The 15,358-nt window shown below is 38.5% G+C and overlaps 1 long non-coding RNA gene across 4 annotated transcripts in view, besides 1 other annotated feature; it reads right to left on the reverse strand.

The window, feature by feature from the left end:
* Positions 1 to 46: 46 nt before the first annotated feature.
* LOC105377885 (uncharacterized) overlaps positions 47 to 15,358 on the reverse strand; it is a 143,181-nt gene continuing 127,869 nt past the window's right edge. For 3 of the 4 annotated variants that reach the window (XR_001744251.1, XR_001744250.1, XR_007059670.1), the window contains one exon: positions 47 to 4,528. This is a non-coding gene — a long non-coding RNA (uncharacterized LOC105377885). The remainder of the gene's footprint in view (positions 4,529 to 15,358) is intronic. The other variant, XR_007059669.1, reaches the window with a different exon arrangement.
* Positions 12,624 to 13,125: an enhancer, noted in NCBI's record as "H3K4me1 hESC enhancer chr6:89022035-89022536 (GRCh37/hg19 assembly coordinates)". NCBI's record gives its function as "activates a minimal SCP1, AML or CMV promoter by ChIP-STARR-seq in naive H9 embryonic stem cells {active_cell/tissue: H9 hESC(naive)}" and the evidence as "EXISTENCE:reporter gene assay evidence [ECO:0000049][PMID:30033119]".

Genomic DNA, 15,358 nt, shown 5'->3' on the forward strand with positions numbered 1-15,358 from the left:
AGATGAAGGTGTCGCCAGGGTTGGTTCCTTCTGAGGACTGTGAGGGAGAATCTGTTCCATGCTTCTCCTAGCATCTGGTGGTTTGCTGGAAATCTTTGCCATTCCTTGGCTTGTAGTTGCATCCCCTAGTCTGTGCATTTGTCTTCTCATGGCGTTCTGCCTGTATCTTTTCTTATAGTTCTCCCACAATGCATGTCTCTGGGTTGAAATTTCCCCTTTTTCTAAAAACTCATATTGGGTTAGTGCCAATCGTATCTTATTTTAATCTGATTAACTCTGTAAAGACCCTCATTCCAAATAAGGGTCACATTCTGAGGTTCTGGGGGTTAGTGCGTCAATGAATCTTTTTGGACAACACAATTCAACCCAAGACATAACCTAAACTAGTTGGTGATAATTCAGCTGTTTTTTTTTTTCAGCTGTCCTCAAATGAGAATCACTATCTGTCCCTAAAATGAGAATACTAGTCAAAACTTCTGATGTAAAGCTGCTCTCTCAAATGACTCCAAATCCTTCCAGAATAGAGCTGTACCTCTTCTGTACCTAAGCAGCAGGGATGACAACGTGATATTTAATTCCATGTTTTCTTTTGGGTGTTTTACTAGGGTTCCAGGGCTTCTAGTGATTTGCTTCTGCTGACAATCAAGAGGGTGTTGCATCCACTGCGCCAGCTATTGATGGCTCCCAAAATGTGTAGTACAGCCGTGGAAAACCCACTCCTCCCACCAGCAATGCCACCTGTACCAGATGACTGTTCACTGGCCTTTCTTTTGAGGTTGGAGAAAACCTCATTGTTGAGGGAGTTTGCCCCAGTGGTATCAGCTCTTAGAGATCTTAAACGTTAAACCCCTTATTTTAGCTTGCTGTCCCTGCTACTGGGACTACCAGAAACATTTCCCAAGATTGGGGCTGGAGATAGTTGAAGGTATCATTTGCTGTGTCACGTCACCTGATATTATAAATGTAATGCAATGTATATCGTGAACTTGAAAGCACACACATTATAAGTGGCCTGATAAGCCATATCTGGGGGCTTGAACTTACAAGGGAGGAAGATGACATCCCGAGTTTTAAAAATGATTGCATGATAGCATGGTGAAAAAGTTGTGTGTTCACCAAGAAGTCACTACTTAGGCATCAGATGTAGTTTAGTCATCTGTTTACTACTGCACATAACCCTCCCGTACTTGGGCCATGTTCAGAAGCCAGAATATTCATGGATTTGATATAAGCATGAAGATTTTTGGCTTCCACAAGTGTGCCTCACCTGGGTAGCAAATTTCTCATGTGTGTCCCAAGGCCATAGATTGAAGTTTTTCTTTTATCTCTTTACCCACCAAAGTTCAGCCACAGTAAAAACACCACTGTGGAGACTTTTATCAAATAATTCAAGGATTTAAGAAAAGGGAAATCATGTAACTAGGAAACAGACTACTGAAAAGATTATTTGTGGGGTCGTGAATATGTATTTCATTGACCCTTTACTTGTCTGTGATAGTAATGTGTAACTGGAATTCACTCAACCCAATGGCAACCAGTGCACTCTGCAGGCATGTGGAGGTGCATGCTCAGTGGTTTGGAAAACTTAGTAATAAAAGTCAAATGGTCTTCTTTATATTGTGGGAAGAAAGTGCTATTTCTTGAGAAAAATGGCAATTTTCACTTCTATTTTTCTTTTCATGAGTCAGATGTCTATATCATGTGGGTTTAAAAAATAGAGAGAGAGAAGTAATAAAAAATAATATTACTAACAGAAGACAGCATATTTCAGTGTTGACTTTTAAATCTATATTGCAACATACACATTTTGTTTTTATTATAAACATAAGGCCATTTTTTCTGCAAAAGGAACAGAATGCTAACTATTTGTGATGAGACTGAAAGCAAATAAGAAGGACTCCATTGTATTACCATTCAGTGAAAATTGGTTGCTTCTCCAGAATGACATAAAGAACTTTTCCTGCAGTCAGTTAGAAAGTAACTTGAAATTGGTAAAACATATAAAACAGCTCTCAAGTTGAATAGCAGGAGGTTGAAAGTTGAGTTTGTACACCACTCACATGATACTTAGGGAAAAAATTCAGTAAGTACAAAAAAATACCTTTGTCTCAGTGTTAATGGAAGCAGAAGAAGTCATGCAAGGCAATAAAATATGAAAGACCGTGCTGGGGAGAATTACAGGAAAGAGTCTCTGGAACCACGGTTTTTCAACAGATTCATTCTGATACTTCCCTAAGGCTGCAGAAATCTACCTATTGTCCATGTCACTCCTGAACACAGAGGCTGAACAATAGTTACCAAAACTTCCTTCTCCTAGGAAAGAGGGAGCTATAGTACTGTTATTGTTTGTTCCTGTTGCAGGAGAAAAGACGTGATAACAGGGAGGCCTGCATGTGACTGGGTGATAACAGGAAAAGCTATCTCTCCAGAGGGGAGCTTGCCCATTGCTTATTACTGACAAAATGAAGAGTGCCAAAGATGTGGGTCATTTCTGGGGAAAGATAAAGTGTTGGAAGCCTGGTGTGGTGACTGAAGATCAGGAACTCTGAGAGCTAGGTCAGGCTCCATTATTACCAGCCCTGTGACCTTGGGCAAGTCACACTGGGGTCTGAGTCTTGGTTTCCTTCTCTATGTTATGAGCATAAACCACTAGACTAGAAGTATTGGTGATATTGGGGTGATGCAGATTTGCAGGGACACACACACACATAAATCACAGTGTCAAAATGGGAGCAGAAACCATTTTATGACTAGCTGGACTAGTGCCTGTACCCTGTAGTAATCTGGACTACCGCTTGTTGCTTAAGTTCAGGTAAACTTAATGGGTCTTCTCCTTTTGCTTGAAATTCAACTGTTACTGCCAGCCAGTCCCTGGAGACCAGAGCATTCAGAGTTCACACACACACAAAAGAAAGCTAGAGAAATGCCAGCCCACTCTCCCAATCCAGACATTGCGCAAGCTTGCCACACAAGGCTGGGTGCAACAGGTCAAAGGGAGAGGATTCGTGTAATGCACATGCCTTTTAAAACACAGTTATCTGGATCACCAGTAAGCACAGTCCAGTCAGAATGGAATTTGGAGACAGAGGCAGGAGATGGAGGGGTAGGAGATTTCCCTGCTACCAACTGATTTCAAAGTTCTATGGTGGTAATCAGATCAGACAGTGAGGTGAAATCCCTTTTCTGAACTGTAAAGTTCTCTAGAGATATCATAGGTTATATTGTTATTATTAGAGTGAGTCAGAAGAGAGATTTTGCTAATGAACCACCACAACAAATCACTGTGGCAGAAACATGCTTGAAATGTCTTTGAGCCTCCTACTTTTAGGAATGCCAATCCAGTCTTAGTGGTGAGCCTTTAGAAAACATTGGGTTTTCAATCCTATTCAACAAACCAGAAGTAGGAGGTGATTACTTTAAAGCCCAGCTTCCCACATTGACATTGATACTGGTATTAACTCTGACATGTAAAATTAGAGTGCTGTGGTTCAGGGACCTGCCTCTGTGTCTTGCCTGCTTGAACTCAAAGGCAAGCTAATGTGATAAACCAATAGAGAGACACCATTTGAAGAAAAGAGTAAGTTATTAGTTCTTTGGGTACTTTACTCTGAGGAGCAATTCCAATTTACTCTTCAAGTTTAGAGGTGTTCAAATTTAATATTTGAATACTAAATTCCCAGTTTCTCCCCTCTCTTTGTTCTCCCTTTCCTTTGTTATCAAAGAGACTTCAAGAATTAGAACCAACCCAAATCCTGAGCAATACAGAAGTAGGTGAGCATATTGCACTGCATCCATTCAACTGGGCACTGTGCAACCAAAGGTGAACTGTTTGTGATGTTACAGACTAAATGAGAACAGTATCTTATAAGTGGTAAGCAGGGTTTGATTTTCTGATAGCTGTCTGGAAAAAAACCTAAAAGTATATGTCTACACACAAATTATCTATGAATACAAAATATTTATTTCCTTCTTTTCACTTTCCTCCATGTTCTATATTTTATAAAGATATATAGAATATGTTATCCTCAAAAATAAGTGTTAATTTTTTTATTCATTAAAGCATAACTTCAATTCTAAGGTATATCTTGGGAAATGTGACACCTCAAAACCATCATGTTTTTCAGATTAATATAGAAAATATGTGGTCAGTACCTATAAAGTAGGCCTACTTGTGAAGGATAGGGTCAGAAGAGTGGCCATGAGTTGTTAGGTACTTCTGGAGAAGCCTGAGAGCAGCCTGACTTGAACGCCGCCAGCATGGCCCCAGTGAGAAATAACGAGGTCCTCAAGTAAGAGTCTCCCTGTGCTCCAAGAAGCATGCATTGTGGAAATAATTCATTATCTCACCTAACAGCCAGTCCAGAAATAGCAGGATCCGCATGACTGGTTGATTCCATCAAGAACACAGGGTCATCCCATCTCTGAGCTCTGCCATCCCCTGTGCTTGTAGCAAGCTGGATGCAGCAGCTCCAGCCACTCTATCCAGATGTGACACCATCAGAGAAGAACAGACTGTCTGACTCTGGTTCTGTAATGAGAAAGACTTTCTCAGAGGCTCTCCAATGGGCTTTCCCTCTTGCCTTGTTGGCTGGATTGGACCACCTGACTATTCCGTGTCACTGAAAAGGGCAGTTGGATAACCCTTAGACCATTCTCATCAGCACCAGGATAGGCAGCTGCCCTGGAGGCATTGTTCAGCTACATGGGAGAATGGAGAATGCCTAAACAAAAACAGGGTCCTTTAAGAACAATGAAGAGGCAATTGATTCTAGGTGGGTAACCAAAAGTGTCTAGCACAGTCCACTGAACATGAACTATTTAGATTCTTATGGCAAGTGGGTAAGATTCTCTTTTATTGGTCTGACTTCTTCCCTGAGCAGTCATCAGAGACTGTATGTCTTGACCAAAGGTAGTGACTCCTCTCAAAACAGCCATTTTCCCACCACTCTCTTCTACTGGGTTCCAGAAACTACTCTCTGCTCTTATTTGTCAGATCTGTGGATAGCTTCAGCAGTTTCTAACCCCATGGCATTGCCCCATCTCTTTCCACACAGCCAGCCCACAGCTTTGTAAATTATTAAACACTCCTTAAATTATTCTGATTTAAGGCTATGTAATTAATTTCCTGTTAGAAAGCTGATACTGTGCCCATTCATACTGCTCACTCGTATTACAGCTATCTACCACAGGGAAAACTATAGACATCAATAGCCTTCCAAACTGTTTTTCTTACCTTTACACATCTATATATGTGTATACATATACATGTACACATGTATATGTATATATGTAAACATGTAATTGTTTTGATTTTAATAAATTATCATGTTATATATATATTGTTCTGTTATTTGCCTTTTTACTCCTACTCTGTTAGGAAATATTTTCATGTCAATGTGTTTTGATTTATCTTTACTCTTTATAGTGGCTAAATATTATTTGTTACTGTGAATTACCATAATTCATTAACCTCTTATCAGTACATATTTAGCTTTATTTATAATTTATTATTATAAGAACAATGTCACAATATACATCCTTACACATACATCTTTTTCATATGTGTAAATATTTCTTTAAGAGAAAAAAATTCCTAGAAATGGAATTGTTGGGTCCAAGGGCATTGCTTTTAAATTTTGGTTGAGACCAGAAAATTGCCTTCCAAAAGAGTGTCACTGATTTCCACGCCCACCAACATGGAAGAGTGGGCCAGTTTCTTTATTCTTGCTTACATTATTCATCTTTTTCAATTTGGGCATTCTAATGGGTGGAAAATATCTCATTGTTGTTTTGATGTGCATTTTCCTGATTACTATTGTGGTTGAGCATCTTTTCATATGTTTGTTGGCCATTTGGATTTTTTCTTCTGGGAATTGCCTCTTCAGATCTTTTGTGTATTTTTTCTATTGGTTTGTTTGTCTTTTCTTTTTGATATAAAGGAGCTTTTTATATGTCTTATACATTAATCTTTTGCTTATTAAATATGTTGCAAATATTTTCTCCTAGTGTGTCACTTATCTTTTAATACTATTCGTGTTATTTTCTGGCATATAGAATTTACTGATTTTGTAGTCAGATCAGTACTTTTTTTCTCTCTCTTTCTAACCCCAAGTGAAATTAAAGAAAAAAAATTTAAAGAGGTAAAGTCTCCTAATCCTCTTGTGTGTTTATTTTTTAAAATTAGCATAATTTAAAATTGACTGTTTTCCTTGGTATACAGTACTATGAATTTTCATAAATGTGTAGATTTGCATAACCATCACTTCATTCAGGATAAGGAAAAGCTTCATCACCCAAAAATATCCTTGTGCTATTCCTATTTAGTTACATTTTTCCCTAACCCCCAACTGTTGGCACCTCTGATCTATTCATTACTATTGTTGTATCTTTTCCAGAATGTCATTTAAATGAACTCATTGAGTATATAACTTTTTGAGATTGATTCTTTTACTGGGCATGATGTCTTTGAAATTAATTTAAGACATTGCATGTATTGATAATTCTTTCATTTTCATTGCTGAGCAATATTCCATTGTGTGGATATAGTTACAGTATTCATCCACTGAAGGTCATTTGGGTTGCTTCCAGTTTTTGGTGATTATGAATAGAATGATTATAAATATTCATGCACAGGTTGTTGTGTGAAAATAAACAGAAATTTTTAATTTTGACATGATCCAATCTATCAATTTTTTTCTTTTATGGATTGTGCTTTTATTGTCATCTCTAAGAACTCTTTACTTAACCCCTGCTTACAATGATTTTCTCCTATGTTTTCTACCTAAGGTTTATAATTTTGACTTTTACACTTAAATCTATGAACCATTTCGAGTTAACTTTTGCTGTAAGCTGTGAAGTTTGGCTCAAGTTTTATGTTTTGCATATGGATGTTCAATATTTCTATTTTGTTGAAAAGACTGTCTTTTTTTCACCTTGACCATTTATCCAAATCAATTGGCCATAATTGTTGGATCTCTTTTTTTATTTTCTCCACTTTATCTATGTGTTTATCTTTTCACCAATACCACACTGTCTTGATTAGCATAGCTTTACAGCAAATCTTAAAATTAGGTAGTGTGATTCCTCCAATTTCATTTTCTTTTCCAAAATTGTTTGACTTTTCTAGTTCCTTTGACTTTACCTACAAATTTTAGAACCAATTTGTAGCTCCAAAAATTGCTGCTGTAAATTAGTTTCAGGAGTATGAGCATCTTTACTATGTTGAATCATTCAGTCCATGAAGACAGTGTACTTCATCGTTTATCAAGGTCTTTATTTAAAAATATTTTTTATCAGCATTTTGTAGTTTTATTATTCAAATCCTTTAAATGTTTTGTTAGATTCATACTTAAATATTTCAATTTTTTGAACCACTGAAATATTTAATCTTTTACCATTAACTGTTAATATATGGATCATATTGACAAATTTTCAAACATTGAACCAGTCTTGCATTCACAAATAAACCCCCTTGGTCATGGTGTACTATTCCTTTTATGTATTGCTGGATTTGACTTGCTATTATTTTGTTGAGGATTTTTGTGTCTATGTTTATAAGGGATATTGGTCTACAGTTTTCTTTTTCTTGAAGTGTCTTTATCTGGCTCTGGTATCAGTGTAATGCTAGGCTCATAAAATAAGAAGTAGTATCTCTTCTATTTTCTGGAATAGAGTGTGTAGAACTGGTGTTGTTTCTTTCTTTAAATATTTGGTAGAATTTGCCAGTGAAACTATCTGAGCCAGAAGATTTCTTTTTACAGAAGGTTTTAAGACACAAATTTAATTTCTTTATTAGTTATAGGACTAATTGGGTTGTCTATTTCACCTTGAGTAAGTTTTGGTAGTTGGTGATTTTTAGGACATTGATCCATTTCATGTACGTTGTCAAATTTATGAGTATAGAGTTATCGACAGTATTCAATTATTATTCTTTTAATATCTATGAGGTGCAGTGATATCCCCTTTTTCATTTCTAATGTTAGTAATTTGCATTTTCTCTCTTTTTTCTTTTGTCATTTTTACTAGAAGTTTATAAATGTTATTGATCATTTCACAGAACCAGCTTTTGGTTTCATTAATTTTCTCTGTTGCTTTTCTGTTTTCTATTTCATTGATGTTGGCTCTTGTCTTTATTATTTTCTTCCTTCTCCTGGCTTTAGATTTCTATTGCCCTTAATTTTCTAGTTTGTGAAGGAGAAAGCTTAGATTGATTCAAGACCAGTCTTCTTTAATACTATAAGCATATAATGATAATGCTATACATTTCCCTCTTAGCTGTATCATACACATTTTGATATTTTGTATTTTCATTTTTATTAAATTCAAAATATTTTCTAATTTTCCTTCAGAGTTCCTCTTTGACCCTTGGATTGTTAAGATATATTTTGTTTAAAATCCAAATGTTTGGAGAGTTGTCTTTATGTTATTGGTCTGTGTTCTATTACTGTCAGAGATCATAGTTTGTATGATGTTGAATATTTTTAACTTGTTAGGATTATGGTCTGTCTTGGTGAATGTTTCAAGTATACCTGAAAAGAATGTTTAATCTTCTGTTGTATGAAGTGTTCTGTAAATGTCAATTAGATCCAGTTGTTTAATGATATTGCTCAGCACTGCTATATCTTTGTGTGTGTGTGTGTGTGTGTGACAGGGTCTCACTCTATTGCCCAGGCTGGAGTGCAGTGATGTGATCTCAGTTCACTGCAACCTCTGCCTCTTGGGTTCAAGTGATTCTCCTGCCTCAGCCTCTCAAGTAGCTGGGATTACAGCCATACGCCACCATGCCTGGCTAATTTTTGTATTTTAACCCTTACCATGTTGGCCAGGGTGGTCTCAAACTCCTGACCTCAAGTGATTCACCTACCTTAGCCTCCCAAAGTGTTGGGATTACAGGCGTGAGCCACCACACCCAGCCTGCACCCCTATATCTTAACTGATTTCTGTCTATTGGTTCTATTAATTATTGAGAAAGGAGTACTTGAGTTTCAAAATATAATTGTGGATTTGTTTATTCTTCTTTCAGCTCTGTTATTTTTGTTTCATCTGCTTTGCGACACTGATGCCAAATGTAACCATATTTAGGATCATTATGTCTTCTTATTAAATTGACTATTGTTTCATTACATTATTTCCCTCTTTATGTCTGGAATATTTATTTGCCAAATATTAATATATCCACAACTTTTTTTAATCAGTGTTTGCATGGTATTTTTTAACCTTTTCACCATATATTATTACATTTTTGCATAACACTATTACAAACATATTTCTTATCTACCTATATCATATATCCAAAGTGTGTTTCTTGTAGCCAGCATATAGATGGGTCACATTTTAAAAAATTCATTCTTCTAATCTGTCTTTTAATTGATGTGTTCATACCATGTGCATTTAATTTAATTATTGGTTTCCTTGTATTTCGAACTACCATTTTATTATGCATTTTTTGTTTCCTCAGTTTTTCATTCCTCTGTTTCCCCCTTTCTACCTTCTGTGGGGTTATTTGAACACATTTCTTATTCCATTTAATTTATTAACTATATTTTTTGTATCTTTGTTATGAAGTAAATGTTTGTGTCCCCCAAAATTCATATGTAGAAACCCTATCCTCCACTGTGGTGGTATTGGGAGGAAATTACCTTTGAGAGGTAATTAGGATTAGATGAAGTCATAAGGGTGAAGCCCTCAGATGGGATTAGTGTCCTCATAAAAATCATGAGAGAGCATCTTTCCTCTTTCAGCTCTACACCATGTGAGAATACTATGAGAAGTCGGCAGCCTGCGACCTGGAAAAGGGCCCTCACCAAAATTTGGCCATGATGGCACCCTGATCTCAAACTTCTAGTCTTTAGAACTGTGAGAAATGAAATTCTGTCATTTATAAGCCACCCAGTGTATTGGGTCTTATTATAGTAGCCCAAACTAAGACAATAGCTTTTTTAGTGGTTACTGTACAATATACACACTTAACTTTTTACAATCTACTTAGAATCAGCGATTTACCACTTCAAATGGAATGTGGAAATCTTACCATTTTATAGGTCCCTCCTCCATTTTATGTTGTAGTTTATAAATTATACTTACATATGTTGAAAACATCATCTTTTAATAAATGTTCAAACATTTTTACGTACATTTACTTATTTATCAACTTTATAATCAGTTTGTCTGTGCCCTTAAAACATTCATCTGGGGTTTGATTGGAATTTCAATAAAGTTGTAAATACTTGGGGGAGAATGACCACTGCTAAATAAAATGCCTGGTGTCTAGTAAATAATTATTGAGTGAATGAGAAATTTGTACTATTGAGAGTTCCCATAGTGGAAGATGTTATGCCTTTCTATTTACTTACATATTTTAAGTTTTCTTTTAAAAAATATTTAGTCTAGTCTTATGTCATGGTAATTAATCTACACATGAGTGGTTTCAACTGAGCCAACCATAATGACACTGTGACTCCCTTGACCATAACTGATTTGTTCAGGGATGCACACTTGACTCAAGCTGTGACAATCATAGCTCTTATAAGAAATTGAAAATTCAAGAAAAGAGAGAAATAGTTGTAGTTTCTCTGAGGTGCTGGATGCAGTAAGATGTGGGGCTCTTCTACTAAGGGCAGTTATGTCTGTGTTTCATAGAGAGGAAGAAGCAGAGACCCAGCTAGCCCCTTGCATCATGTGAGAACACGTGAGAAGGGACCTCTGCAAACCAGAAAGTGGGGCTGTCACCTGACATTGAGTCTGCTGATGTCTTGATCTTGGACTCCCCAGCCTCTAGAACAGTGAGAAATACATTTCTATTGTTTATAAACTACCCAGTTTATGGTATTTTGCCATAGCAGCTTAAACAGACTAAGACACTTGCCCTTCCTGCAGTTAACAGGGTGACAAAATTGTCCTTTTTGCTATGTTTATCAAGTTGGGTTTTTGTCATTTAAAACCCAGAAAAGATCTAACTATCATAAACGTCCCTAATGATTCAAAGAGGATTATCTCTAGGCTGCCAAGAAAATATACTACAGACACTACTTTCATGAATAGGTAATGATTATTATTATTATAATCAACTCAGTATTGCTATGTAAATGATAGCTTTTAAAGTATTTAAGGTACTTGAAAACTAGTTTCAAAAGTTGTTTAAACATTTTCCGTGCAATCTTGCCCAACTTAATTAGCCTGGTAAATTATAGTTAATATGAATCCATCAAAGATAAACTTCAGGCTAGCCTCTGTCAAATTACCTAAAATTATGTATTAATTAAGTAGTAAATTTTTTCAGGTGCTAGAATAAGCTACCATAATTAGAAACCAGAGATTTTCTAGAATATGAAAAGTCTTACAAGCATTTCAATAGTAACAGATCAGACTGCCAAATGAATTACTAGTGATACCATCATTACAGCAATGTCATTATTCTAAATGAAATGCTAAGAAAACCTTTAGCAGTTAATGCTTTAGGATGGCAAAGAAGGGCCCAGTGAATTACCTGTAATAATATATGAATGTTCATTAGCCCCTTTTGCTCAAATCTACATAACTAGGTCTTGTTATTTTCTGCTAAAATACCTGCCTCATCTTAAACCCACATTCACTCAGACTCTGAAGCCAACCCTATTCCTTCTCTAGTTTAAGGGGAATTTAAAAGCCCTTCACCAGTAGCATCGAGGTTCATGGTTAAGTCAGCTTTAAGGTTATTCTTGCTGTAATCTTGTTTCCTATTTAAGGCTCAGCTCTCTACCTGTCAAGGGTCCAGTAAAGTTCCACGGCCCTTGAGGATGAGGAACCAGTCTAATCCCATAGGTCTTAGATCCAGAGCCTTGTCCCTGAACCCTGGTAGTTGCATCTGGGCCCTATTATTGTTATGGGACCTTTGGGGTGTCGCTTTTCTGGCCTGAAACCTCTGGCCTGTGGTGCCTCTGCCCAAGTTTTGCTCAGGCCCATTGGGCTCATGCTGCCCACTTGGCCTGGCAGGCTGCACTCGGCTCACACTACTGGCCTAGATCGCATGCCTGCCAAGGGTGAATCAGTCATGGAGCGGTGAGGGGTGTGTGAGTGAGCATGGGATCCAGCCACTGCACAGTCAGACACGCTGGCTGCTGCAGCTGGGTGGGCCAGCATGGGCGCCGGCTATTTGCCAGGCTGTGAGGGTGTGGATGGACCAGGCACACTGCAAGCAGCTTCCCTCGTTGGCACCAGAGACCACAGTGGAACCCGTAAGCTTGGAAATGCCAGGCACCGCACACCTCCAAAGAGAGAGTCACAGCCCTGGCTCAGGGAGCTCCCAGGTCTGGGCTCCCCAAGGGGCTGCAGCTCTTCTCTCCTTCTCTTCACCCACAACATGGTGAGCAAGGGGCATATTTAAGCCCTGTTTGTGTTACAGCTCTTTTAGCTCCACCATTCAGTGGGTTCCGAGTTCTTGTCCTGCAACCAGGAAGAATGAGGTATGCAGATAAGTGGAGGGTGAACAAGATGAAGAGGAGCTTTATTGAGCAATAGAACATCTCACAGAGGACCCACAGTGGGTAGCTCCTTTACGCAGCCAGGGTGTCGCATCAAGTGTTCAGCTCCTAGCACAGAGGAGACCCTGGAGTTGGAAGCTCCTCTCTGCAGGCAGGTTGTCCTGTTGTCTTCCCAGCTCTCAGCAGAAAGGAGGCCCTGGAGTGGGTCTACAGGTAGGCTGTCTTGTCACCTCCCAGCTCCTGGCAGAGAGGAGGCACTGGAGTGGATTGCTCCTCTCTGCTGCCAGTTGTCCCAATGTCTCTTGCTATCAGCAGAAAGTGTTGCTCCTCTCTGCAGCTGGTCATCCCATTGTCTCCTCAACTGTGGCTGAGCCTGGGTTTTTATGGGCCTCAGAGGGGAGGGAGCGTGAAAGGATTGGGCCATGGGAAAGGCACCAGGAAAGGCACCGCAAGTTCCCACTCCGGTCTGTGAGACTGGCAACCCGGCCCCCAGCCTTCAGGCCCTCCATGGCCTGAAGGTGGGAACTCATGGGGATCCACTGCCTTCCACCCAGGAGTCTCTCTGCCTCCTGCTGCTATTCATGGTGCCCAGGGCTCTGCCTGATGTTCTGAGATCTGAGTGGGCTCAGAGAGCAGGGAGAAGCCAGGCAGCAGGAGGAGGCACTTCCGAGCCTGCCAGGTCAGGGGGGCCTTCCTGGACCCCCAAGAGTGCAGGGATATCTGAGTCTGCTGCTGCGGCTTCAGCAGCAGCAGCTGCACCTGGGGTGGGGGTGGGGCTCCTACCTGCTCCATGGAGCAGGAGCCTGGGTCTGCACCCAGCTGGTTTACCTGCCAGACTGTGAGCCCCTTGAAGTCAGGCACAGAATTCTATTCATCTTACATTCTAAGTACTTACAAATACTTCTGAACCTTCATAGATAGTCAGTCAACATGTATAATAGTAAAGTTGAGGTACAATAATACTTAAAAAATTTCTCTATTAAACAATATATTACCATCCCCAGTTACTCAGAAGACCTGAGAGACACTTTGTTGATTAGTAATCTTGTACCACAAAATTCTGTCCCTCTACTAAGTGCCGTGATACGCAGGAAAAAGTAACAAGACCCCACTATTTTACTCCATCTAAATTTGTCTTGAATATTCAGAATGATGCCAACGTTCTTCAGGCCACAATAGTACCAGACTCAAGGACAATACTGAATTTTTCCAACCTACTTCAGTGCGTCTTTGATCTTTGGCTTTAGAGCATTCAGCAATTTTCATAATGAATTATGGCATCCTGGATTTTACAGTGATAATTATAAAATAGTCATGCTAAAATATCAACAACCATTAAAAAATATAGGAATGTATGGTATAAAAGTTAAGATCACATGATCTAGAGTCACACTTGTGATTAAATCCTGGATCTGGCTGTGTAATGTTAGTCTAATATTCACTTAACTTCCATAATGGTGAGTTTTGTCCTCTTACTATGGGGACACGATTAAATGATTTAAAGTGTCAAGCATAATGTCAGGCACATAGAAAGTACTTATAAAAAAGTATTTGCTTATCATTATTAGCTATTATAAACTTGTAGGAGAAGCAACATCTCTTTTTTTATAATTTATTAATCAAAAACTGTTTATTGAACACCTTATTATGTGAGAAACACTGAGCTAATTATTTTGGGGAATATGAAGCTGTAAAATGCAATGTCTGAGGACTAAAGTTTATAATTCAAAGGAGGGGTAAGTCACGGACCAAAAACTAGACCCAAGGACAGAAAATAGGAAGTGACCCATGAGAAGCATATACAAAACACTTCCAGAGTTTAGTGGATGGAGGGTGAACACACAGGTCTCAGAGAGGAGGAGCCCTGGGCATCCATCCTGCACATTCTTGCACATTCCTGCTCTGTGCAATGATGTGCACATAAAAGGTGTCCCATAAATGTCTGGTTTTCTGTCCCTTACCCGCAATGTTCTGAACCAGTAAAAAGTAGTTGCTCTTAAAAAAAAAATGCTAATCTGAGTAATTTAAGGGATTTTTTTGCTTCTACTATTTATGATTCTACCACAGTGATATTTAATTGTATGGTATTCTTTAAGAACGTGTAAAGGGATCCTTGCAAGTCTGCCTAATAGATACTCATTAATTCAGCCAAGCTAAAAGAGCTGTAAATGAAACTGACAAATACTATTATCCCACTTGCTATATTTTTCTTTTTAAAATCAGCAGAATATAGTTTGAGGCTCTCTAAACTTCTGACACTGTGCTGGGAGCCAAAAGGCCACAGATAATTAATGTGGAATGGTGCTGAGTCCATTTCTCTTTCATCTTTAATATGTAGTAAAAGCCACAGGAATATCCAGTCCAGAGGTTTGAAATCAGTAGCCTTGATGTCCCTTAAAAGGCATCAGATGTAATTACCCTCACCCCTATCCTCCCCTTCCTTTTATGTAGGCAAAAGTGAGGAAGTGCCTGGGTCAGTAGAGGAGAGTTAGCTTCCTGCACTATGTCCTTTGGAGAGAGGTGAATCTTGTCCGCCTGTAAGGGTGGGAAGAGAGGTCCTTCCCAGGGGTTTATGCTCTGGGGAATGAAGAACAAGCCTGACTATTTTGGTGACTGATGCCAAGATTATAAAATCTGCGTTGAGTTTATATCCAGTCAGAGTTTATAGATGACTATGTATCAAGTTTTGAGGGCTTTAGAGCCAGCCCTGAAATCCTTAAATGCCAGGGCCTCGAATGACACCATTCAACATTTATTCCTTTGAGTTCTGCATATCTTGTCTTTGCAATTCTCCTTTTAAACACAAATGGCTCCGGGAGACAAAATGTTGCTGAATACTGTTATACTTTAGCAAGAATTGGTTTGTCAATATCCCTCTCATCGTCATCATCATCATTATC

The sequence above is a fragment of the Homo sapiens genome, chromosome 6 (genome assembly GCF_000001405.40).
Source record: "Homo sapiens chromosome 6, GRCh38.p14 Primary Assembly".
Classification (NCBI taxonomy): domain Eukaryota; kingdom Metazoa; phylum Chordata; class Mammalia; order Primates; family Hominidae; genus Homo; species Homo sapiens.